The following is a 25,034-nucleotide window of genomic DNA, read 5'->3' as shown; positions in this document are numbered from 1 at the left end:
CAAACAATGTGAACACAATACATGAAAAGTATATATTTAAATTAAAAGGTTTTTTCCATGATCACTTAAAACCAGTGAAGCCCCTATGTCAGTTTATTTTTACAAGGAAGTGTGAGCAGAAAAGAGTGCTCCTTTTATAAACCATATTTGAAACAAAGCTGGAAATTAACTTTCTTTTTTTTTAGGAAGCTGGGAAAATCAAAGTTGTGAAAGGAGAAAAGGAAGGACAGTGAAAGTGATAAAAGCATGTTGGTCTCGTAGCATTCCATATTTCATATTACTTTCATATATGTATTTCATATATGTATTTCACATTACTTTCATATTATACTCTAATTTTGACTCACCAAGTCTATAGAATCTACTAACGGCTGGTTTGGTTGAAATACAGAGTCCTCATTTTCTTCATTCTTTTTGCAAGGCATTTGCTTGGAAGGAAGCAAGTTATACCATAGAGTGAAAACCTCACTGGAAAATGGTAAATCTGCCAGGCTGATCTGAGTTCCAGCCTATGTAAGTGAAAGAAAACAAAGAAAAAAAAATAAGGAAGAGAAAATAAAATGTTTAAATTAGTATTTGTTCTGATATAATAAAGATTATTGAATGAGCTTGTTTTAGGGTAAAAAAAACACAATTCTCCTGACATAAAGCATTGCTGGATTTTTTAAAACATGGGGATATGTTATATTTTCAGCTGTGACTAAGTAAGAAATAACCCCCAACCTAAAAGCTAATCCTGGGATTAGTTTGTGAGATACCATTTTGCGAAGACCTAATGACTAAGCATGCCTTTTATGTAAATGTGAAATTATTGTTATTATTTTTGAGATGGAGTCTTGCTCTGACTCCCAGGCTGAAGTGCAGTGGTGTGATCTCAGCTCACTGCAACCTCCACCTCCTGGGTTCAAGCGATTCTCCTACCTCAGCCTCCTGAATAGCTGGGATTACAGGTGCGCACCACAACACCCAGCTAATTTTTGTATTTTTAGTAGAGACAGGGTTTCACCATGTTGGCCAGGCTGGTCTCGAACTCCTGACCTCAGGTGATCTGCCTGCCTCGGCCTCCCAAAGTGCTAGGATTACAGGCATGACCCACCACACCCGGCCTCATAGTACTTCTTATAATATGCTGTAAAGGTGACTTACTCACAAACAACCCATTATCCACTGAAAAAAAAATAAAAACTCCACTTTGGTTCTTGAATAAGACATCAAAAAGCAACAGTTTTCTTTAGATACATAAGTTAGTAGAATGGCAAAAAAAGTAAAGGATAAAGGCTTTCCATATTCCACCAAATCACACATAGACAAAATCTAAATTCAATTACACTCTTCTTTAAGGCTATCAATATAATATTTATGAACTTTGTGGGAGCCTCTGACATCTATTATACTAAATATGACATCTATGATACTAAAGCCTTTCTGATAGCCTAACGAGTCTGTTAGCTCTGCTTCTTTCTAACTTTATTGTCAGACAATATCATCAGATATTTTTTTCAAGTAAAGAAAACAAGAAGAAAAATTAAGAAGAAACCTACCCCTCTTAAACTTTGTTCATCATGAAACATGTGTTTCTGTGCTTCCCACTGGACTGCAGAGAAAAGCTCAATTGGAGACTCACATTGTTTTCTGAACACATGGCACATCTCTAGATGCCTGCATTTGAATACTTATGTAACTTTACTGGGACATAATGGTTTTCTGGTTATTACGCACAACAGTGTATTAAACTCACAATTAGTTAACTGTGAAGTCTTCTGCTGTAGCATTTAAATGTCATATTGCTTTAAACAGTAACATCACATCTTCCCGAAAGCTCCAATACTGTGGTGGAGGAGAATGAGGTGAATAAGGGTACTATATAGTACTCAGTGGTCTTGCTTAATTTTAATTTGTAACAGTGAATTATGTAATTATGTGGGGATATCTTTTTGATATCTGGCTTCATCGCTTACTAGTTGTATGACCGTTGAATATATTACCTCTCTAAGCAGCTCCTTATCTGAAAATAGTGGATAATCATCCATTTCATAACCAATCTTTCATCAGGTTGTCATGAGGATTAAATGAGATAATATATACACAGCAGTCACGCAAAGCTTGGCATTGGTACTGGGAGTGGTAAGCACACTCCATGAGTGATAGCTGTCACAAAGGTAAAGTTCTTCTGTGGTGAAAAGGTAGAAATAGAAAGCAACTTTTACAGAAAATCACAATTTATAAGCAGATTTTAAAGGTCTGGAATAAGAGAATAAACAGAAACCACTACTTCAGAAAAAAATGAACAAACACTAGATGTATCCCAAGATGTTGGGCAGGTCTGTAGTGATTTCTAGGGCTGGCAAAATAGCAACTACAAAGTATATCCTCAGACCACCCAATCTAAGTGCTATTTGGTAATGGGAATTATGAAGAATCCTACCAGGCATTCTTCCCTTCGGTGTTTACTGACAGAGCAAAGGTCTACCCTCAGTGTCTTCTGTTGTAAGGCTGTTTGGGAAATGGCGACTCTGAACACATCATTGAATAAAATGGATTCTGTGGGCGGATGAACTTTTGTGCGAAACAGACAGCTGACATCAGTTGAGGAAGGAAGAACGGCAACCCTAAAATATCTGCAAAGAACAAGAATAAAATGGATTTCATAGGTACTTTAATTATACCAGATTCACAGCTATCATTTGAAATTATCTGCAAAGAGAGAAAATGAGGGATCGTGGAGTTCAAGATCAATCTAAAGTGTTGCTGCCATCACGGGTCCGTGCTCAGCTGCATAGATGCTCTGTCCTTAACCCACCCGAGCTGACTACGCCCCTGAGCATGCAATGGCCCAGCCTCCACTCACCACGAGACTGCAGCAAAGGCACATGATAGGAAAGTGAAGAGGAAGAAAATCCGTAGGGCAGACGAATTTAACGTCCCACCTGCCCCATGGACAGCCAATTCCAAAATAAGTTATTTCTGAGCCTGGGAAGGTGGGAACACACTAAGTAGATACTGGTGACTTTATCTCACAGAATCCTCATCCTGAGTATTAAACAAGAGATGCTGATGATCACCTCCCAGGAATGGAATACATTATCCTACTAGAGAAAAAGAAAGGCTCAGTAGCATATTGTTAAGAAAATTTAAAACAGATGAAACAACGGTTCAAAAATATCACTGTCTAGCATCTCCAAATTCTGAGATACGACAAACTGTTTTAAGAGTCCCGTGCTTTGTAAAATTCAGAGGAAGAGTTATAGAAAAACAATAACTTCTAATACTACCTTAAAGTGACTCTTCTGAGCACACATTGTATGAGGACCCACAATTCTTAGAAAGAGCGTGAGGTAACTTCCTTTAAATCCCAGGAAGAGAATACCGCTAAGTCTATCCCCTCCACCCCCATTTCCAGGCTTGTCTAATCTAGATTCTAAAACATGCCTTTCTCCGTTAGAAAAACTGTAATTCAAATGCAGAACTGAGGAATGTCATATTATTTTGTATTTCATATCAATATTAATTATGGAGATTCAGCAATGAAAACCTAGTGGGCCTGAAGCCCACTGCTGTTGATTAAAGAGCCTTACTAAGACACAGCTCACTGTCCCTGGGAGGCCGAAGATTCAGCAGAAGAAAATCTTTTCTGCTTGTCACAATTAATAATCAAAAAATAACTTTTGAGGTTGGGAAAAAAAAGAACAATTTTAAGAATATTTCATACTAGCTGTCATGTTTAGCAGTGTCATTATTTAGGCCAAGGCTTTTACATGTGGGTTTAAGGAAAGATTGCTATATATGTCAGGAAGGTTCGCACCAACTCAACAAGTGCCTGCACATTAGCTGGGGAGCCGAAGAGCAAATGTCTGCTCATTGGTTGGGCTGAGTATTTCACTGGTCCTACACTACGCAGGTATCACCATGCCTCCAGAAGGGACTTGGTGACATCCTATGAGGTAAGTGAGAATGACTGTGATTGGTTTAGTTGAAGTAGAGCATATTGCAGGTGCACCCTTACAGTGAGTTTAAAGAAGGTGTGTGTTCTTGGGGTGTTCTGTAGTTTTCTCCTGAAGTTGTGCATTAGTTCTCACTGTTTATTGTTTCAGTCTCTGGTAGACTTGTCTTCTCCATGATTTGCTTTACTAAAAGGCCACCAATGGCATGCTCCAACATCACAGCTTATCTACTGGTAGGGAGAAGTCACAGTTTATATCAAGCCAGTCTTCCTGGACACCGCTGACTGGTGTTTTTCATCTCGCATTTGGGAAGCAGGCTCTCTGCGTTGATCTAGGCACTTCTATGTGATGCCTGCTCTCCTCACTGGTCTCACTAATGATGTGGACAGTCCACACTTTGATTCAGGAAGTTCTCTAAGCTCACCCTCCTCCTGGAATCCTATCCTACCTCCAGCTTTGATGCTTGTCAACACATTAAAATCTACTATCTTGGCTGGGCTCGGTGGCTCACGCCTGTAATCCCAGCACTTTGGGAGACCAAGGTGGGAGAGCCCAGGGAGTTCAAGACCAGCCTGGGCAACCCAGTGAGACCCCATCTCTTAAAAAAAAAAAAAGAAAGCCACTATCTCTATTCTTCTATTGTCAACTACATAATTTCTATCTAGTTCTTTTTCTCTTAGATCCAGTTTCTTCTTTCTGATGATTATTGGAATGTTAGGAGGTGAACTTACAAGCAACTCTGTAGGAAAAACATGCAGAACTCTTTAATTTATTCTATTAAAAGTCTTATCACTAAGGAATATACTCTATCATTAAGGAAAACATTCACCTGGCTGGGTATAGAGTCTTGGGGATCACCCCTCAACAGCTCTTTTTAAATTTCCAAAGCCTTGCACTGCATATTCAAAATATTATTAAGATCCACTTCTTACAGGAAGTTTCAATGCAGAGTGGACATGCATATTCCGGATTCTACGTCATAGTGCTAAGTCGAAGTCTGGATTCTTCCTGGTACTTTCCAGCCATGAGCCCTTCAGAGTCACTGAAACTCTGATGTCAGAAAATGTGAATGGTGGTGTCTAAGACTTCCAGACTTATTTGTCATGAGATCTTTAGGCTTATCTGTCAGGAAGCAAAAAGTCTCTAAGCAATGGACTGTGTAGCATTATGTCATCACTTTGTTGGGATTCTTGGTTTGATGAAGTGAAATAACTTTAAGAACTCACTGGTCACAGGGAAGTAAATGCTTGATGATAAAAACATACTCTTACATGTAGCATGATAAAATGTTTGACTGGCAATGTTGTACAGATACATAAAATTTAATCACTACATTTTAATGTAAAAGATTAGAAAATTCCTTAAACAACAGTAGTAACAATTACACAAAAACAAAAATTTTACCCATATTTCAATCAAATTCCAACACAGCATAAAACAGTGCTTCTGGTTACAAAAAAGAGATTAAATGTCTTGGCTTCTACTCTTAGAAAGAATCAGTTGAGTAAGAATTAAAACTCAATATGTCTTCCTCACATTTCCCTTCTCATCTTTATCTGCCATTCATTTAGACATGATCAGCCCTGCTATGTCTTTTCCGTATCTTCATTTTGATGAACTGTATGATTACAGTGTAAAATTCTCTTACATGGAAATGTTTAAGTTCCTCAATTTGATCTTCGCTGATTTTACTTACACTTTTGAAGTATGAGGTATCAAGAAGGCATGAAGGTTTCGGAGCTGTGCTATAATCACCATGAAACTTGAACTTTTTGCATTGTATCTGTCAAAAGAGAGGCTAAATGAAGTCAGGAATCACCACAGGCCACTTGCCCTGCACAGATGTCAGAACTGCTCCTTTCCCACGTACATTCCTTACCTGAGTCCTATCTGAACCTGGGCGGTCTCTACAATGGCTACATCCTCTTCACTGTATGTGACATCTTCCATTTCACTAGGTCTATATGGACAGGGAGTAGATGAACAGTTAATTAATGGGGTTATCGATTGTTATGGTTAACAGTTTGCCACTTAGTGATTCTGAATGAAAATCCAAATTAACAGCACTCCTATGCCCTCCCAGTGGAACTGATCCCAGCGAAAGCTTACTGTTTCAGAGGCTCTTTTCAAGAAGAGCCCGCCTCTGGGCTTTAGGGCAAAGCCTCTCTGATGACTACTTTCCTTATTACTAGAAATATACCACACCCTTGAGACATTTCAGACTTTCAGAAATACACGTGAGAAGCTTCATGTGCCAAACAGGGTCTGGTGAATTCTTCCAATATTCCCACTAAATTCAAGGTTTTTAAATTCTAAAGAGGGTCAATTGCCTCTGGGTACACCAATCTGTTTATCGATAATTTCCATGGCTAAGTCATTTTTGATATACTGAACTTTTCAGGCACACCACTTCTTTAACGGCTAAAGTCCTTACTAAGCCAAAGAGCGGACTAATGGTAGCAGTCCATTTACAGCATATAACCCACATCCACGGCGATGGAGATTCGCTGGAGCTAAAAGCGCCCCTGCTGAATCCTTACTGTTTCACGAAAGCTTCATAGACCCCACTGTCTCCAGCCACAGACTCATCAGACACAGCAGCCGACACACAAGTGGTTTTCTCCCCAAGCAAGTGGATCACTCTTCTTTTTGGTAATGATTTTTCCACATCTATGGAGGGGAGGGTGAGAGCACTAATCAGAATGTCTTATTTGGAAAAGTTAAGTATTAAATACATACATAGTTTGGTCATGAGCAATCCAAAATAAGATTTCCTTCTGGGAGTCAAGGATGTTAATATTCAAATCTACAGCTGTAAACAACTCAAGGCACTATGACTTATAAGATTCCTGGGACGCCAGTTTTTTCAGTCATTACTTGGAAGAGAATATGGTTTTTCTTTGTCCTGAAATATTTTAAGGGAAGGGATGAATTACACAAATTCTCATTGGTCCTTAGTCTCTTTCTTTCAAGCATTCACTGCAGTGTTCATATATTCAGGAATAGGAAATGATCTATCTCCCTCAAGTGACATTTCTATCACAGAGAGAGCTTCTAGCTACTCAATGGATAAGTTTCCACCTCTTTTGGTCTCCCCTTCTCTCCACATGCCATATCCTACATCTCCTGTGCTACTATTCTAACAGAAATAAAGAAAAAATGTCTTTGACTCACAGGAACTCCTCACCAGCCAATACCATTAAAAAACTTTTTGTGCTACTGAATCTTTAGTACCAATGACCACTTAACTTTTATCTCGAACTCATATTCATACACCAGCATCCTGCAGTGAGCAAGGAACATTCATTTAAGGCTGTGCTCTGTACTGTAATGAGCTGCAAGCCTGTGGTGCTCTTTCATCCTCCAGTGAGTGAGAGTGAGCGCAGGGATCTGTATTGGTATGCATTTTGGCCCCCTTCTGAGCCGTGACTTTACATCTTGTGAAGATGTTTAAGTTTTAAGGCTTCAGATTACAGGATTGATTGCTGCATTTTCCACTTTATTTCTGGCAGTGGGAATGCTTTTTCCTTGATGATGAAGTGCCTTCTCTCCGCCCACCCCCCTTTGTGAAGGGTGAAGGTGATGACATGATTTATTGATTACCCCCAGGAATAACCACAGCAGCCTGAAATTGACTTTGACAATGACAGTGACTGACTGCGGAAGGCCTTTGCAGTTATTCCAACGTGGTTGGTGTCATCCAGCAGGGACTGGCACTGGACAGCAAAGTTTACGTAAAAGGGACTTGACTTTACCTGCCTAAGCCTCTAGAGCACTGAGGGAGATGACAAACGTCCCTGATAGGGAGCCACCACCCCACATGCAGGGCAGACGTCCCCTGAAAAAAAGTGCTGGTGACTTGAAGATAATTCATCTTTCCTTTTTTTGAGACAAGGTCTCACTCCTGTCACCTAGGCTGGAGTGCAGTGGTGCAATCTCAGCTCGTCGCAGCCTTGACATCCTCCTGCCTCAGCCTCCTGGGACTACAGATGTCTACCACCATGCCCAGCTAATTTGTGAGAATTAGCCTTTATGGTTAAATATACGCTTTCACTTGTTTTCAGACATGCAACTGAATATTATCTGCAATCAAAGCTCTTGGATGTATTTTCTCTTAGGGTAACTTTTTAACAGCAGTTTTCTAATATATGCATTTAAAAAGTTAAAAACTGTTTCACAAAGGTTCAGAGATACTGTCTCCATCCACAAACTTTTCAGACACAGCAAGACCCAAGTGTCAGGAGCAAGGCATGGGCCAACCAGACACACTTGCAAGACAGGACTCCCAGACCTCAGGGTTACTGGGTGGGTGACAGACTTTAGGCAACTTTTTCCCTCATCACTCTCTCCCCTCTTCTCCAGCATCCAGCCTCACTTACTGCCCCTCCAAATTGGCTGAATGTTAGAAGTGGTCACTAGATACCACTCCAAATACAGGAAGAGCAAAACTACCTTGAAAGGTCAAAAGATGTAAGTTCAAAGCACAGGAAGGAACGCTGGCACAGAACATTCCATTTTCTTCTCTTTCTTCTTCTCATAGCTTTCCATGGTTTACAGTAAGAACTGTGTTTAGCCAGAGTTTATTACTTATCATCATCACTGTCACAGAGTACTAATAATTACCATGAACTGTGTGCTGAGTGCCAGACACGGTTAAGTGCTTCACATGTTATCACTGCATTAAATCCTTCAGCCTGACACAAGGATTACTGTAGCAACCCCATTTTGCAGATAAGGAATCATAATCCTGAGAGATTGGGTAGTGTGCTTACCCAAACACGTTGGTGACTAAAATGTGAGTGGAGGCTTGGCTGGTTCCAGGAGTGGTATGCACCCCCTAACACACACACACACACGCACGCACGCACGCACACACACCGTACTCCTTCCCAGAAGCAGTGGTGAAGGCCCCACGCGGCTTTCTGTTTTGTTGGGGCCATTATGTACACACACCATTCCCCTGGTTATTTTCTTTGTGGTTATTTCCATAACCTGCTACTTGTAGCTTTGACATCTCCCCAGGAGAGGGCGCACAAACCACACAAATGTCTCATGGGCCCTCCCACAGGCCCAGGCCACTGACAGGGCACAGCACTTGGCTCTTCAGTATTTGAAACCGTAGAAACAAGGTGGATTTGTCAATGTCTTTACATATCTGAATTGGCCAATCAATTACTCAGAATTCTTAGGACCATACATACAAATAAAAATGCTTCTGGGAACAGGAAGAGAGCACTTCTAAAGAGCCCTGCCCTGTTTTGTGTGGTCAGTAAAACATGTAGCTGTGAACAGGACAGCTGTAGATGAGCACTGGGGCTTTTATTTCACATTTTGTCTCAAGCTAGCTCTGGAACAGATCATCCTCCTCAGACCAACAGTGATCATCTGCCAACAAGGGAAACATCTTGTGCTCTTTACAATCATATCTAACATATTCAAAGTTCCTGCTTTGCAAAGGAAAACAAACAAACAAACAAAAAAATGATATTTTTCCTGTTTCTGTCTTTTTGAATACAAATGCAGGCCTAAGAACTACAATCTCTAGTAATCCCTTCCCGGGGCTGCAACTGTTAACCTGGCCAGAAGGTGGCAGGGTAATACCATACACTGCAACCTGCTGTTTTAAATTAACTTTTCGCCAGAAAAGGAGTCTGGCTTGAAACAAAAACTGTATTTATATAGAATTCCCTGAACAATCTAAACACTGAACCTTGGTACTAATTAGCTACTATGTTAATTGCCTTGGTTTTAATCTGTTTTAGGCCAACTTTTAAAAGAAAATCCTCTTCTTTGCCTTGCTATTTCAGAACTGGAATCTACTTGGAAATATGTTCACAACATATGTTCCCAGTCAGCTACCACACACAGAGTGTCTCTGGACAACTGAGCAGGTACTAAATGATTAAGTCTACTAAATAGGGAAGGTAATTTTTATTTGATAATGAAAAATATCTAGGTATATAAATAAAAGCTCCTTCTTAAATGAAGCCAAAACGATTACTCAAAAGAAAGAGAAGGGGAATCATACCCTTTGTTTATATGGAAAAATAATGCTCCAATCATTCTCCTTAAAATCACTAACAGGGAATACATGAAAGCAAAGGGCTGCATTTACCTGCAGTTCCTTCATATAATGGCTCCCTAGCACATTCATTAAGGTCTTTATCCTCTGAAAGAGACTGGGAGGCTCCTCCTGAATCAGAATCCAGCAAAATCTGATTTTCGATGAGGCTGATATCTGCAAAATGGCTACTCAACTCACAGTCTTCAAAGTCAGCAGTGAACTGATGGAGAGAGGCATCATGAGAAGAAGACATGGGAAACGTGCCTTCCAAAACCAAGGGAGAGCCTGGAGGAGACAAGGAGGAAAGGGAGGACCTCGAGGACAGGGAGGCCACAGACTTCGGGGCCTCAGCCAGTGGAGGAGTGTGGCCTGTTGCTGCAGCTGCCACTCCACAGAGTCCACTCTGGCCAGGCTGGCTAGGGGACTTGACCACCTCGTTTTCATGGATGGTGGTGATGGGTCCAGAAGGAATGTAACCGCTTTTCTCTTGCAGAAGGAAGTCCAGTTTATACTGATAATCCACATCTATCTGATCACTTTGACTGCTGTAATAGAGTTCGGTGGAACTGAGGGAGTTGAGTGACCCTCTGCTGGAGGTGTTCAGAGAGCCCCGACTCGATGCCAGGGAACCCAGGCTGCTCCCAGATGACATGGACAGGGTGCTGGCAGAGAGGCTGAAAGACAAAAAGCACACACCATAAAATCTGTTACAAAATGGAAAACCTAATCACAATCTCTACTGGCTCCTTCAGATCTGCAGAGGGAAGAAACCTGCTAAAGAATGGAATCAATGGCCAGGGACAGAGGAACTCCCTATATTACGGCCGTGTGTCAGTTAACGACCTGGTCTAGTTCTGAGAAATGCATGGTTAGGTGATTTCATCACTGTGCAAACATCACAGAGTGTACTTACACAAACCTAGACGGTACAGCCTACTGCACACCCAAGCTATGTGGTATAGCCTATTGCTCCCAGGCTACGAACCTGCACAGCAGTTGCTGTTCTGAATACTGTAGGCAATTATAACACAATGGTAGTATTTGTGTATCTAAACATAGCTAAACTAGAAAAAGCACAGTAAAAATACAGTATTACAATCTTACGGGACCACCATCATATATGCAGTCTGCCCTTGACCAAAAAGTCATCATGTGGCACCTAACTGTATACCATGTCTATGCTTCTTCGTTAACCTTTTCAGCCTTGCTCTCCAAATACTCTTTAAGTAGCAAATCTATTCTTATTAAACATTATCCTCCTTTTGCAAAAATAAAAGGAATCAAATACCTGTTGATAAGTTTATTTGCATAGACATCTAGAAGCCACTTTGCCATTAAAAAATATTGAAAGCAAGAAAAAACAGGGCAAAAGCGTTAATGTAGTTTTTTATTAAAAAAAAAGCTTTTTATTTTTAGAGAAAAGAAGGCAAGCTTATAAAAAGAAAGAAGTCACACAAAAGACCCTTGGGTTCGCTCACGTTTCCTCTTTGTGTGTGAATGTGAGGAGTGAGTATTTTTCTCATCAATGTAAGGAAATCTATGGCTATTTTAAGGCAAAGCTCCTCCACTTTCCCTTTTTAAAAAATGGGGCAATGGGAAAAATGCGTTATTATCCTAAATGTACTGACAGCTAAAACATATCTTCTTTCTATAACATATTTCAAATGTATTCCAAATATGACACTGGGTTCATGCAAAAGAAAATGTGACTTTAAATCTGATCACTCAAACAGTAACTGTGCTACTATAATGATTTTATTTAAAGTAGTTGGAAATAAAGTGAAAAGTAATCAAAGATGAACAAGAACATGCTATTCGGAGAAAAGCTTTCCCCTCAAAAATCTGATAAGCTCACCTTTTAAGTTGTGAATGCAAATAAGTAGTTAATTTAGTAGTTTCTTCAAGTTTCTGTAGCAGCTCTTTTCTTCTCTCTTCCAATCTCAATCTAGGAAGAAAAAAAATTATTTTCAAATGATTATAACAAAATATGAAAACTAAAAGGAAAGAAAGATTCTCATTGTACAAACATTACAGATCACAAGGGAAAAATGTGAATGGGCTCCACAGACAGAAAACAGGACACCGGCAAGAAGTGTGGGGGGCAGAGCTGCACGAGCCAAGCTGAAGGATGGGGAGGGAGCGTTATGCCCCATCACCATGTCACTGAGAATTTAAAATTGCTGGTAGCCTAGAATCTTTTTAAATGGGTAAGTAATATGGTCCTTTGAGTTGGGGAAGAAGAGTGAGGAGGAAAATAACCAAGGAAACAAAAAACTAACCAAAGACTAGAATCCTGACACAGATCTGTGACCTGGGAACCCTTTCCTAAAACATTTCACAGCAACAGTAAAGGTCACCCTAAATACCGAATTTAGTAACGCTTGTTCCAACATAGTATTTAGTGATAACATTCCCAACCCTGATTTGATAAGAATTAGCAATTAAGAAACAATTTTAGTCCACAATACCATTGTGGGCTAATTTGGGCTCAACTGTTTAGGGAAGAGGATGACCTAAAAGTGATTCCCCTTCCGAGCTACAGCACATCTCATCATCCGCGTCGGACTATCATAAAATTTCATCCACATTCAACTGCAAAAGTTTTTCTTTTTTTTAAGAGTACAGCATTATAGAACTGTATACTTGAATAGTAAGTCATTTTAAAATATACCAAGTACCCAGGGGTTTATGCAACTAAGAGTCTGTGCAAGTATAGTCTATGTCGTGTGAAGGTCTTTAGACATCATGAAATAAAGTAGTTCAGAGCAGTAAGCAGCAGAATGGAATTCAGAAAAAGGGCACCTGGGTTTCTAATCTTGATTTGCAGCTTACTAGCTGCATATCCTTGGTAAGTCGCTGAATCAAGGGTCTTACTTTTCTCATCTGTAAAATGGTGACTATAATTCCCCTGTGTCTCCCTGGTAAGGCTGTTAAAGGGATCAATGGAGTAATGTATGAGAAAGTGCTTGACAGAGAAGAAAAACAAATCTGACTTGTTCAAAGCCTCAGCATGCCCTGAAAAGTGGTGATATAAAAACTAGCCACTTTTCTTTGGAGAAAAATAAAATTTCCTTAATTTCTAATCTCTTTGAAATGTTATATATGTTTTTGGCAGTAAGGAAACATGCCCATATTTTATTTATAGGTATCTATCCCTTTGATGTGTCAACAACACTATTCCATTATATGTTAAACTAAAAAAAGTAATTCTTGCCATTTTCTTTAATACTTCAAAAGCGCGATAAATTCTTAATTCATGGCTTTCAAAGGTGTATTTTTAAAAGCAGCGGTCATTTTAAAAATCTTTCAAATATAAATAAAAACTCAACGAGGAAAAAAGTAATATGAAGTAGACTAACTGAATTAAAAGTGCACAAAGGTCTGAAGAAAGCCCCAAACTCTACTAAAATCCATGTCTTCTGAAACAAGAGAAACACTTCGGAAGGAAGTTTTAAAACTCAATATTGCTTTTATTAAAATGAAGCCTTTTTCTAATGCTTTCAGGAGGCACCAGGATGACGTCAGAATGTGACCCTGAGCCACACTTTCAGTGCTGTCCCTTCTCCATCACTAGGGAGCGTCCTCAGCCTTCTCCAGGTGATGCTCGGCAGCTGCTCTTCCAGCCCTTTAATGTCTGCTTTGAACCACAGATGCCTGTCTTTGTGTTCTTGTTCACGTTTCCCACTTAGCTCCTACAATCCCAGAATGCAGACATCAGCCCTTTCTCCCTGCAGCACAGGGTGCCCTGGCCAGTCCCTCCGTTCTTGCTGGTGTTGAGATGAAACCTTCCCTGGGAGAAGCATGAGGAAGGCACTGGGGAGAGGCACAGAAACCCTCCTAGTGGGCCGCAGTTTGTCTCTGATGTTATCACCAAAGCCTCTCCTAGCGAAAGCCTGAAGTCTTCCTCAGAATCCACGTGTATTTCATGTGAAATGCTCTCCCCAACTTCCCCATAACCAGGGGTTAGAAGAAATTGCAGACATCAGCCCTCTCAAAAGGGTGCACACCTGTCTCTCTAGGTTCTTCTCCAACTCCTGCCTGTTGGTCTGCTGGATGAGAAAGGGTTTCCTCTACTTGGCCCTTAAAAGATTCCTCCCCCTGGCCCATCTGCTCCACATCCCCTTTCAAGCTGCCCTTTGTGAAGTGTGGGCCTTCACACCTGCCTGACTCTGCCCTCAGTGCCCTGCAGGAGAGAAGCACAGCCTGGTTTCTCCTGAACTCAGAATTCTGCACCTAGGGAAAATTTCATGTCATCTATAGAAGCAGGAAGTCCCTTTTCCACTCAAAACTAAGTGACACTCATGCCCCCACCTATTTGCTTTAAAAAATTTTTCAGAAGCAGTGGCAAAAACATTCAAATAATTAAGAAACAATTAAGACGTCTTGGCAATTACAAGGCAAACCCCCAACACTTGTGATAAAACAAGGAGCAATGTTAAGATCTTACCAGCTATAGGAAAGCACAGAGTTTAAGGAATTTCAATAACTGCATGGGAAGAATACGAAAGATGCATAGAAACACCTTCCCTGCATGGTTTTTTTCATTTGCGAGCAATTTCTCTTTAGGCCTGGCAATGCTTCACCATGAGCACCTCTTTCCCACCACCAGGTGGCGAGCACAGTCGCTGCCATCAGGCCCAGTGGGCGACACTGCAGCCCTGTGGGGGCAGGAACAGAGCCGGGGGGGGGGGGGGGGGGGCTGTAGGATCACACTCAGAGACTGAAAATTCATGTGCATCTAGCTCCTTCAGACACCAACGTTCAGCAATGACTCGGAATCTTGCCAGAGGTCACCCCTGAAATAATGGGAACCCCAAATATAAGTGGAAAACAGGAATATGTTGGGGAATACGGCAGGTAGCTTTGACAGTCATGTAGGTACCAAGAAGAAAAGGAAGGATTTGGGGTTGGTGGCACACAATCTGTTCTATGATGAAACTGAGTTTCACACAGCAAATCCTACTTCCCAAAAGAAGCTCCAGCCAGCCCTGCTTTGACACTGAGGAGACACTGCTGGCAAGGGCGTTCTCTTCCCTCTTAAACTCCCGGCGTCAGTGCAACAGCAGCAATGAGCAGAGCAGAAACCCACACACACAGGAGGAAGACACGAAAGGGTGAAGCCATAAGAAAAAATGCCAGAGCATGGGGGAATAGAAAGCAAAACCATAATAGCAACAGCAAAACCCAAAGCCAGACGAGGTTGTATCTACTTGGGAAAGAAAGGATTCAGTGTTCCCAATGGCAGCAGGTTCTGCTCTTCTGGACATGTGAACTACTGAGTCACTTTGAGCATCCCAGGATAGGAGTTAGAAAGCTTTAAGCTGATCAAGCAAGAATGTCTGAGTCCTTCAACCTTTGATGGCAATGTAAGTATGAGGATTTGCCTTTGGCCATAGACACTGATAAGGAAACTAGTATCCACTTATTTGGAATACTAAATGACCTGGCTCTTCCAGGTAACTCAGAAAGTCAACATACTACATATATAAAATACATGTTTCCCTTCCTGCTAACATCCAATCATGGGAGACAGGGCCATGGAGGTATCATATCCACACCACTTACTCCCCAGATGACACAAACCCAGTGGCTGGATCTCACTAAATAAATAATTTTTAAAATAAATATCTTATAGCTCCTCTTCCTAATGAGTTCAAGCCTACTGTCTCTGGTGAGGTTTGGGCTGTTCGTTAAAAAAAAAAAAAAGGAAAAAAAGCCTCCTATTTCACTGGAATTTTGAGTTACTATGTGTGTGCAAACAAAAGTATAAAGTTTAGGTACTTAGGAAAAAGTCAAAGTTTAGGTTCTCAGGAACAAATTGCTATCTTTAATGTTATATCATGAGTCATTTTTTGGAAGCTCTACTCCTAATAAAAAAGGCAAGCAAGACGCCACCTCAATAAAAACTAAGACAAACAAATATGTCTTCTTTCTCTGCCAGAACAAATCTGTTTGTAAGTCCTTCCTAGATTCACCTACTACAAAGTAGAACAGCTGAGATGGACGTGGCACATTAGACACGTATGATTATATAAAATTTTATAATATGTAAATGCTATGTAGTAGTATGAAACATCATTGCTGTTTTATACATGGGCCACATAAAAGCTACCCATTTCATCATAGCTACTGATGACTATCCGTAGCTAGAAACTTTAGGTATACAAATTTAGACACATCAGGGTAATTCAGAAAAACAACAGCAACAACAACAACAAAAACAAATTAATTCTCCCTTGCCTTCTTACTCTTTTTGTTCCTTTTGGTCTTTGTCAGATGGGGCCTTGCTTTGCCAGCCTGGCTGACACTTCCCTCAGGCTGACCGTTTGGTCAGCAAAATTAGACAGAAAAGCCAGAACAAGAAGGGAAGAAAAGAAGGGGAAATGGAGGCAAAGATGAGAATTATTAAGAGGGCAGAAGATTATAGTTCAGAGGCTTTTCCTTTTGATACGTTTTCATGTTCCCTACAGCTATGACACTGAGGCTGCGTGTTACCTTGATCAACATTTTAACCCACAGAAGTCAACTCTCCTAAAACGGTTAACGTTGGGGTGGGTGAGTCCCCATGCTAACACCTACCTGGGAATGTCAGAGACGTCTTCCTCTCTCCCTCCCCCTGCTTTTCAAATGTTTTGATATTATGTAGCCATGCAACCCTAACATTTATTGAGGACAAGGAATTAGAAGGCAAGACGCCACAATTTTTTTTTTTGAAGCAACTGGATTATGGCTGGGTGTTTTAAACTTACTTCCAGGTCACTTGAAATTATATCAATGTGAATTTCTTTCCCATCACCCTGAAACAGGCACTGCTGTTTACTGGCTGGCCTAAAGGATGTACATGCGGTCGTTCTCAACGGCTCTCTGGTCTGTCCTGAAACAGGTATCCAACCCATTCTGCCATCAAGGCCTGGACCCAGGCTCTTATGCAGATGCGTTCATGTCAAACTGACACACAGAGGTCCCTTCACTTAACATTCCAGCTGATCTGTTTTGCAGAACTGGATTTTTTTAGATGGAATAATCAACTCACACCTTCCCAGAGAAAGATGGGAAAATTGCCTAGAGTATTTTCCTTTACAGTTTCACCTGTTTCACGGGAGGGATGCAACTGACAAACAAAATGCAAGTGAGTACGTTGTGACCTGTTAGGGTATCACAGGGAGGAAGCTGTCTTTTCCTCGTGAAATGACTAGCAATAAACTTTTGCATTCCTGTGAGTAATAAAACCCAGAATAGGAAGCTTCAGTTGCTCTAACAGTCTAGATAATTTTTCTTATCGGAGTGCAATAGTTTATAGCTATTGTTATCAGACTTCATCAATGATGTACATTCCTGGTTTTATGTCAGCATTCCTTAGTTATTCAACATCTGTCACAGGTTTTGCACGTTCCTAAAACACAGAACTTATCCTGTCGGGCATTAGGATGGTGCACTTTATTGTTCTACAGAAAGTCCATTTGTGCTGTTTCTCAGTCCACTAAGAACAGATGCAATTGAGATTTCCAAACCCAGGGAAAATAGTATCCAGTTAAGACACCCCCACAAGAGTTAAGCTGCCCTATTTCCAGAAGGAAAACAAACCTCTCGGCCAGAGCTCTGCTTGGTGTTCCCCTCACAGACAGCAACTCTTCTTCCAGCCGCTGCCTTTCAGCTTCTAGGCGTTCTAATTCATCTTGGGTACGTTTCTGTGGGGTGACGAACTGAAGCTCTTTCAAAAGTTCTTCTTTTTCATTAATCAGCATCAGTTTTTCCTTCTCAATATCCAGTGCCCCAGGCCAGGCCTCACTGTCCAATTTTGACAGTTCAATTTTTAAGTTGGCCATACTAAAAAAAAAAAGATAGAAGAGGTATGCACATACTTAAAACTCCTGAGAAAGGTAAACACAGCCTAAGCCAAATTTGGTGTTGACATGCTGTCCAGATTTTCCTAACTTGACCTTACCAGAAAGAGGTGTGGTCTACTGGTGAGAGGCCGGAGTGGGAGCAGCAGCCTTGCACACCAGTCTCTGGGCCTGTCTCTGCACTCAGCTGTCACCCACTTCTTTCCCCCATCTTTAAAATGTGAGTGAGCATACCCAGCTACCTGACAAAAGGGTGAAGGCCAAGTACACAGAGGCTTCAAAAGCTGAGTGCTCTGGGCGCCACGAGAGGCCAGCTCTGACGTGTGACTGCCTGTGTAGGTGACAGGAAAGATGCCTGGGGGGTTCCCTTTAAAAAAACTGAGGTGAATGATGTCTGAGATGCCATCACTATACATTTTATTCCAATGTGTTTTAGATGCTGTCCGCTAGTAAAATGGGAACCCCAGGGCAGGCTGGACAGAGACTAGGGCATTAGTAAGTCAGGGAAGGAGAGAGCAGCAAAGAGAGCAGTGGTGTGGCCAACTGGTATGAAAGCAGTTGGGCCAGGTGCAGTGGCTCATGCCTGTAATCTGACACTTTGGGAGGACAAGCAGCACGATCATGTGAGGCCATGAGTTCGAGACCAGCCTGGGCAACATAGCGAGACCCTGTCTCTACCAAAAATATTTTAAAGATTTTAAAAATTAGCCAGGTGTGGTGATGTGTGTGCCTGTGGTCCCTGCTCCTTGGGAGGCTAAGGTGAGATCACTTGAGCCCAGGAGTTTGAGGCCACAGTGAGCCATAACTGCGCCACTGCACTCCTGCCTGGGTGACAGAGCAAGACCCTGGGAGGGAGTCAGGGGTTGATCCATCAAGGCTCCCCCATTGCCAAAGAGAAGGGGCAGGGCTTGGCCTTCTCCCGTTCACATTCTCCTTAAGCTGCATGTGAGTCTCCTCCCCATCAGTGCCCCGACTGGTGTACAAGCCATTTACTGAGCAGTCATTGCACTGACACTTTATACATTATTGTGCTAGCCCTGTGGTTGCTCTGTACACAGCTATTTGCAGGCAGCATACGGTGGACCTTCACTAGTACAGGCAGCTGGCATGACACCACTGGAGTGACAACAGGTGCTGAAGTGATGTGGACAGGGACAGGAGAAGGAGGAGGAAAATGCACCAAAGGCAAACCTCACTGTTTCCATAATTTTGCCTGACCCCAGATTTCTCTTATGTCTAGAGCTTCGTAACACATGGTAGAGTTAACATTACCCCCGACTCAGTACGAATGTCCTAACCACCTGAGTCAAATAACTTGCTACGTGGCACTGTAAAGACAATGAGGACTGTTCATAAGGTAAGCGGCACATGGTTCTTTCGACCATAACGACAAGATCTCAGTGAACTATGAACTCCACTGATGTCTGCACAAGGAATCTATGTTTCTACAGAAAAACGTTGGATGATTACTTTGGATATTGTTAACAGTACACACCAAAATACGAAAAACAGAAAAGAAATACTTTCCCATTTTCATGGGAGAACTTGTAGAAGGGAAGAGAAAAGGTGAATGAAAAACATAATCAAGAGCAAAGATGGAAGTAGATCTATACCTTTGTGCCATAAGTTTCTTGTTCTAATTAAAAATAAAATTGCATGTTAGAGTGGCACGGTGTATGCAGTGTACTTCTGATTTTCTCCCCCCATCTGCACTTATGATAGATTTAAGTAACATCAGCTATTCTTCAGCTTTAACCACAAAATCATAAACAACTGTCTCAACATACTAGAAAATTAATCATCAAAATGCGAAATAAGCATGATATTATTAGCTTCATTAAGCACATAAAATAAGGGCTGGAGGAGAAAACAGATTTCAGAGAAACACAACCTGCCTCTTTACTTAATCAGAATTGAGGAGGAAAAAGCATTTTCAACATATGCATAAGCGCTTGAGATTTACTTTCTCATCAGCATCACTAGTAACTTTAAAACAAAACCCCAAATGGCACGCCAATGCAACCAAGTGGGAAAGAACCAATGTCTGAAGTTTTGATGTGACTGAATTAACCAACTGAACCAGGAACAATAACATAATACAGGAAAAAGAGGCGCCCGTTTATTATTTGTGTCATCAGACATTAGGCAGGTCTTAAATTTTATTTTAGAAGGAGTGTTCCAAATTTGGGGAGCAGAATATGAAGAAGAGTTTTAGAAGCACCTAGGAAGAGAAATGTGATGTGAGCTCCAGATAAAATTCACTTAGAAGTCAAAGGAGGGTGAAAGTTGAAGCTGATCCATGGGAAGCAAGAGTCAAGCCCGAAAGAATGCAGGGGCTTAAGGCCCAGTTCTCCAAGACTGCTTCTGAGTAATGGCCATTCTCTTTCAGAAAAGCAGACCAAATTCATGGCTTTGTCCACAGCCCTGCCCAGGTGGACACACAACAAGGGGACCACAGGCACTATCTACCGAAAGCTGGCACATTGCCGGGCCACAAAACCAGAAGTTGATCCTCAATACTTATTGAAGGGAAGGCACTAATCTGGGCACTGAGAAGGAGATAATAAAGCCTAAACATTTTTCCCTAACCTGAAGAAATTTAGAATCTCCCAGAGAAAATTTAAAGGCATTAAAATTAGCTGAGTAAATTGCTGTTCAGATCGCCTAAGTGACTTGTTCAAGCTCACATGGTTAATAATTTGTGGAATGAAGCTTAGGTTTCTTTCAGGAAGTGAGGAACCAAGTAATATTAAGAATACAGGTTACATAGAGGTGAATATTGTATTTATTTTACTTTGTTAAAGCCTGATAACCTCTAAGGACTACGGCCAATTGCTTTTAAGTTATCATCATCACCAATAATAAGGAATATACTTCAATATCTGGTTCTCAGCTGAGCTTTTCATGGTCATGGGGAGAAACATGATAAATTCCTGTTTCTTGCAGGACGATAATGCAGTTTCTCCCAATGTCCTCCTAAATAATAACCCAATGGCATTTTAAAGCTCTTATGAGGAAAATAATGAAATCAAATGTATCAGTATAATCCTTTCCCTCATAATAAGGAGTTCTATATTATGAAAAGTATTTGAGTCTATCTACTAGATACGGATAGTGAAATCTCTTTTTTGTTGTTGTTGTTGAGACGGAAGTTTCTTATGTCTCACTCCAGCAGAATCACAAAGTAAGTAAAAGATAGCACAGGGATTAAGAAGAGTTTATGAGGTAAAAGAGAGAAATGAGAATCTCTCTTCCTTTTCCCTAACCTAAGTCGACTGGAACTGCCACCTCAGCACCTTCAAGGACATTAGCAGTAAGACTTCCCTTCAAATCAAAGGCAAATAAATCAATACTTATTTGCCTTAGAACTCCTCAACAGCTATTTAGTCCTATACCTGAACCACTGTATCATATTTCCATCAAAGCAACCAATCTTCTCACTTTTAATTGAGAGTTAAGTATTGTACCAACTCAAAGCTTCTTTTTTCTCAGAGGAGAAGGGGGCAAGTTCATTTGTATACTTCTCACTAATTCTCCCTGTTCTTTAGCTTTTGGTGGTTGGGGGGTGGAGGGCGGGGGGAAGAAAAGGTAGACCAGAGAGGAAGCAGCCCTGACATGCTAAAACCGAAGGGTGGCCTTGGTAAGAATGTATGGGGAGTGCCCAGCAGATGTCACCACAGGAGTAAAGATTAATTCTGGAAAAGAAAATGTTTGAGCCATGCACAAAACAGCTTCTCTGTCATTACCTTCTTTTGGCTTCTTCATACTGTAGGCTTAGCCTGACCTTTTCAGCTAAATTTGATCTACTTCTTACTCCAATCTAGTGGAAAAAGAAAAAGGAAAAAAGTCAATTAACTCTGCTAATGAATGAAGTAAATTGCTTTTGTTTCTGGGAAGTATGTGTAATTGAAAAGTTAAAGAAGATGGTACTGAAATCGGGAAACACCAATTTTAAAAGACACTTATTTTATTGTCTCAGTAGGGGCAAAACATTTCTTTCAATTCAAGCTCATCTGTTTTTCAAAGACTCTAACATTATTTTCTCTACACGTTAAATTCAAGATAAAAAATATCCTGATACTGTAAATACCAAGGTAAATGTGTCTGGTATCTCAGAGTTTATGAAGGGTGTACAGGTCAATAAAATTTATGAACTGGAACTAATTTTTTTGCCTTTATGAGCCTAATTTCTAGCATTTAGCTTTCAACTGTACAAAATATAAACTAAATAAGTTCAAAAATTAATTTTCAAACAGGTAAGCCCTACTGTTGATCTCTACCTGTTTTACTTTCACAGCACATATTTCAAAGCAGCATAAAAGAATATGAAAAGAAATGGGAATGTATTGAGAAGTAAATACCTGCTAATGGCATCCCAAAATGGAGAAGGTAAAATAGTTAACAATAGCCAAGCCACATTAAATATTTAAATGGCAGATATAAATCACAAATTAAACATTTTAATATAATCAATTAAGATTTACAAAAACAAGTTTTCTTATTAGTCTTAAAAGGCATGTTTTTCTGTTTCTCATTGGCCTAATGTTTATTTGAAAGGACCTACATTTCCAAGACTCTAAACGTAATAGGAAAAAGTTAAATTCTCATATGCCTCTAGCCTTTCAGCGTGTCTCTAAAGGAATATAGCATGAGAAAGTTTGAACAAAGCTACTCATATGGACAAATCCTGACATACTTGGCACCTAGATAGAAAAGATAAGGCTATGATTTTTAAAACTAATCTTACGAAAATGGAACACTGAATGCACACAGCCAGAATCCAAGTCACATATACTTCTGGTTCCAGTTCACCATCCATATTGCAATTAAGGCCCATCAAGGACAACACTGGGCCAACTCTTCAGCACAGATAACTTACATCTCCGGAAATGCTTGTTTGTGACCCAGCATCAAGGGTCTGTCTGGAGAGACATAAATGAGAGTTCACAGGACTACATCTCAAATCTGGCTCAGATCTGCCAATGTTCTGATCCAAATGAAACCGCTCCTGCAGCTTAGCAAGACTCTGTTCAGAAAACACAAAGTGTTTCATAAAGCTTAACAAGTAAGACAGCAAACCTTCCCTACCAGGTGAAATTAAAAGGAAAGAGCTAATCTCAATGGAAAAAAACAACTTTATTTTAGTAGGTACTTACCATTTTATATAATTGAAAAAATAACAGCAGGATATAATTTTGCACCTCCATACATGTGACTTTGGAAGCGAGATCATATTAAACCAGTTGTCTTATCTATCTCAAAACAGCATTTTCCTATGAACGGTATCTTTAAAATACATGCATGTCTTATTTCTAAAAATTTCATTAAGAAGTTATCTCTATTTCAATAGGAACCCACTCACTTCATGCAGCTGAAATTGTGGAAACAGAATATCTATAACATAATCTCTCATTTTAGATACAGTAAAAGAACTTCCTACTTTGAAGACTTCTTCAATTAAGCCATTGTACATCTGGACAGGACCCAAGAGATTATTTAGCTCACATCAATGTTAGGGATTAGGAAACTGAGGCTCAGAAGTTGCTAATGAGTGGCACAGGCATGGAACAAGCCCATCTGTGTGTCTACTGCATGGCACTGCCTGTGGTGACATGTTTGGCTTGGTAAAGAGAATAATCAAAAGCAAATGTGCCTGCTGTGGGCACTCAGGTTTAATAAACTGTGTTTACTTTAGAGGGAGGATATGAACAAGTGAAAGTATTGAAAAGGAAAGACTAATCTGAATTACTTAAAACAATAAAAAGGAAACCCTAGGGTAATCCTAATAAAATGATAAGAAACCATTATTATCAACAAAAGAGCCTGTATTTAATCCTGATATTTAAAATTTTCATGATTAGGAGGAATTAGAAATATCAGAGATCTGAAATTTTTTACCTAACTTTCTCTATTTTCTCTCAAAGGGATATATATACTATATACTATATATATAATATATATATAGTATATATATTATATATATATTATGTAGTATATATAGTATATATGTAGTATATAGTATATATAGTACATATAGTATATATAGTATATAGAATATAGTACATATAATATATAGTATATATAGTATATAGTATATATAGTATATATAGTATATAGTATATATAGTATATATAGCATATATAGCATATATATAGTATATAGTATATAGAGCATATATAGTATATACAGTATATATATAGTATATATAGTATATATATAGTATAGTGTATATATAGTATAAATAGTATATATAGTATATATATATGAGGATAAAACTTAAATGGTCACATCAAATAATATAGAAAAGAACAAAAAAACCTTTTAGTGACCTTGTGCAAGTCTTTTCTATTTTTCCATCTATACAGTGAAAAAAAGTCAGTGTTCTTCAAACTCATCTGTGATGGCAATGCATTCTATCAATTTAGTAGGTTGTTACTAGTATTTTTTTAAATGAAATAGAAGATACTAGAAAATAAAATCAGAGTACATCACCAGTTTAAGAGTAGGCATATTTCTGTGAAATTCATTTGGAGTGTGTATGTGTGTGTGTGCGCGTGCATGCACACCTGTGTATCTATAGGTACACACAATTGTGTGTTACTGGGTTTTGATGTAAAATCTATTTCTTACTGTGGTCAAAGAGGTTTGAAAGTCACAGAAGATATCTAAAGTTTCTTCTAACTCTATTGTCAATCTCTGCATCTACTAATTAATGTAATTTAGTAACTGAAAAGGGATCTAATCTTTTAATTTAATCAGGCCTGCAGATGAATCCAAAGTTTATAGGAAGAATGAAAGATGACCTAAAATTGTTGAATTAGAAGGTTCCAATGTAGATTTGCTCCAGTTCTATTAACTTTTTTTTTTAAAGGACCTACTACATGCATTTCTGGAATGACTGACTTAATCAGCAAGACAATTGTGGAACAAAACCAAAATACACACAAGTAAAGTCTTGCATGTGTTATATGTATGTTAAAACCACGTTAACCCAGACTGCCTGGGTTTGAACCATAGTCTTGCTACTTACCAGCTGTATGACTTTAAGAAACTTTAATTTTTCTGTGCTGAAATTTCCTCGTCTGTAAGCTGAGAATAATAACAGTGCCTACCTTTAGTGGCTGTTGTGAGGATCAAGGGAATTATTTATATGCAAGGCAGTTAGAAGAATGTCTGGCACAAAGT

At 39.8% G+C, this 25,034-nt stretch overlaps 1 protein-coding gene across 5 annotated transcripts in view, besides 1 other annotated feature; it reads right to left on the bottom strand.

The window, feature by feature from the left end:
• The window catches only part of WWC2 (WW and C2 domain containing 2), a 221,521-nt gene that overhangs the window by 49,189 nt on the left and 147,298 nt on the right, over positions 1-25,034 (bottom strand). For 4 of the 5 annotated variants that reach the window (NM_001410864.1, NM_024949.6, XM_024454225.2 and 1 more), the window contains 10 exons: positions 22,729-22,875; positions 21,596-21,669; positions 17,590-17,832; positions 11,861-11,950; positions 10,057-10,679; positions 6,482-6,611; positions 5,821-5,901; positions 5,638-5,724; positions 2,426-2,618; positions 348-509 (listed from right to left, as the gene is read on the bottom strand). In NM_001410864.1, the coding sequence (NP_001397793.1) occupies positions 348-509; positions 2,426-2,618; positions 5,638-5,724; positions 5,821-5,901; positions 6,482-6,611; positions 10,057-10,679; positions 11,861-11,950; positions 17,590-17,832; positions 21,596-21,669; positions 22,729-22,875 (1,830 nt within the window). Of the gene's footprint in view, positions 1-347; positions 510-1,541; positions 1,595-2,425; positions 2,619-5,637; positions 5,725-5,820; positions 5,902-6,481; positions 6,612-10,056; positions 10,680-11,860; positions 11,951-17,589; positions 17,833-21,595; positions 21,670-22,728; positions 22,876-25,034 lie in introns of those variants that run through there. The other variant, XM_047416199.1, reaches the window with a different exon arrangement.
• Positions 14,632-14,691: a silencer, noted in NCBI's record as "silent region_15826". NCBI's record gives its function as "represses an Ori minimal core promoter by ATAC-STARR-seq in GM12878 lymphoblastoid cells {active_cell/tissue: GM12878}" and the evidence as "EXISTENCE:reporter gene assay evidence [ECO:0000049][PMID:35858748]".

This window comes from Homo sapiens, chromosome 4, assembly GCF_000001405.40.
Source record: "Homo sapiens chromosome 4, GRCh38.p14 Primary Assembly".
Lineage (NCBI taxonomy): Eukaryota > Metazoa > Chordata > Mammalia > Primates > Hominidae > Homo > Homo sapiens.
Note: the sequence above shows the minus strand (reverse complement) of the source record. Positions and strands in the feature narration are given on the sequence as shown.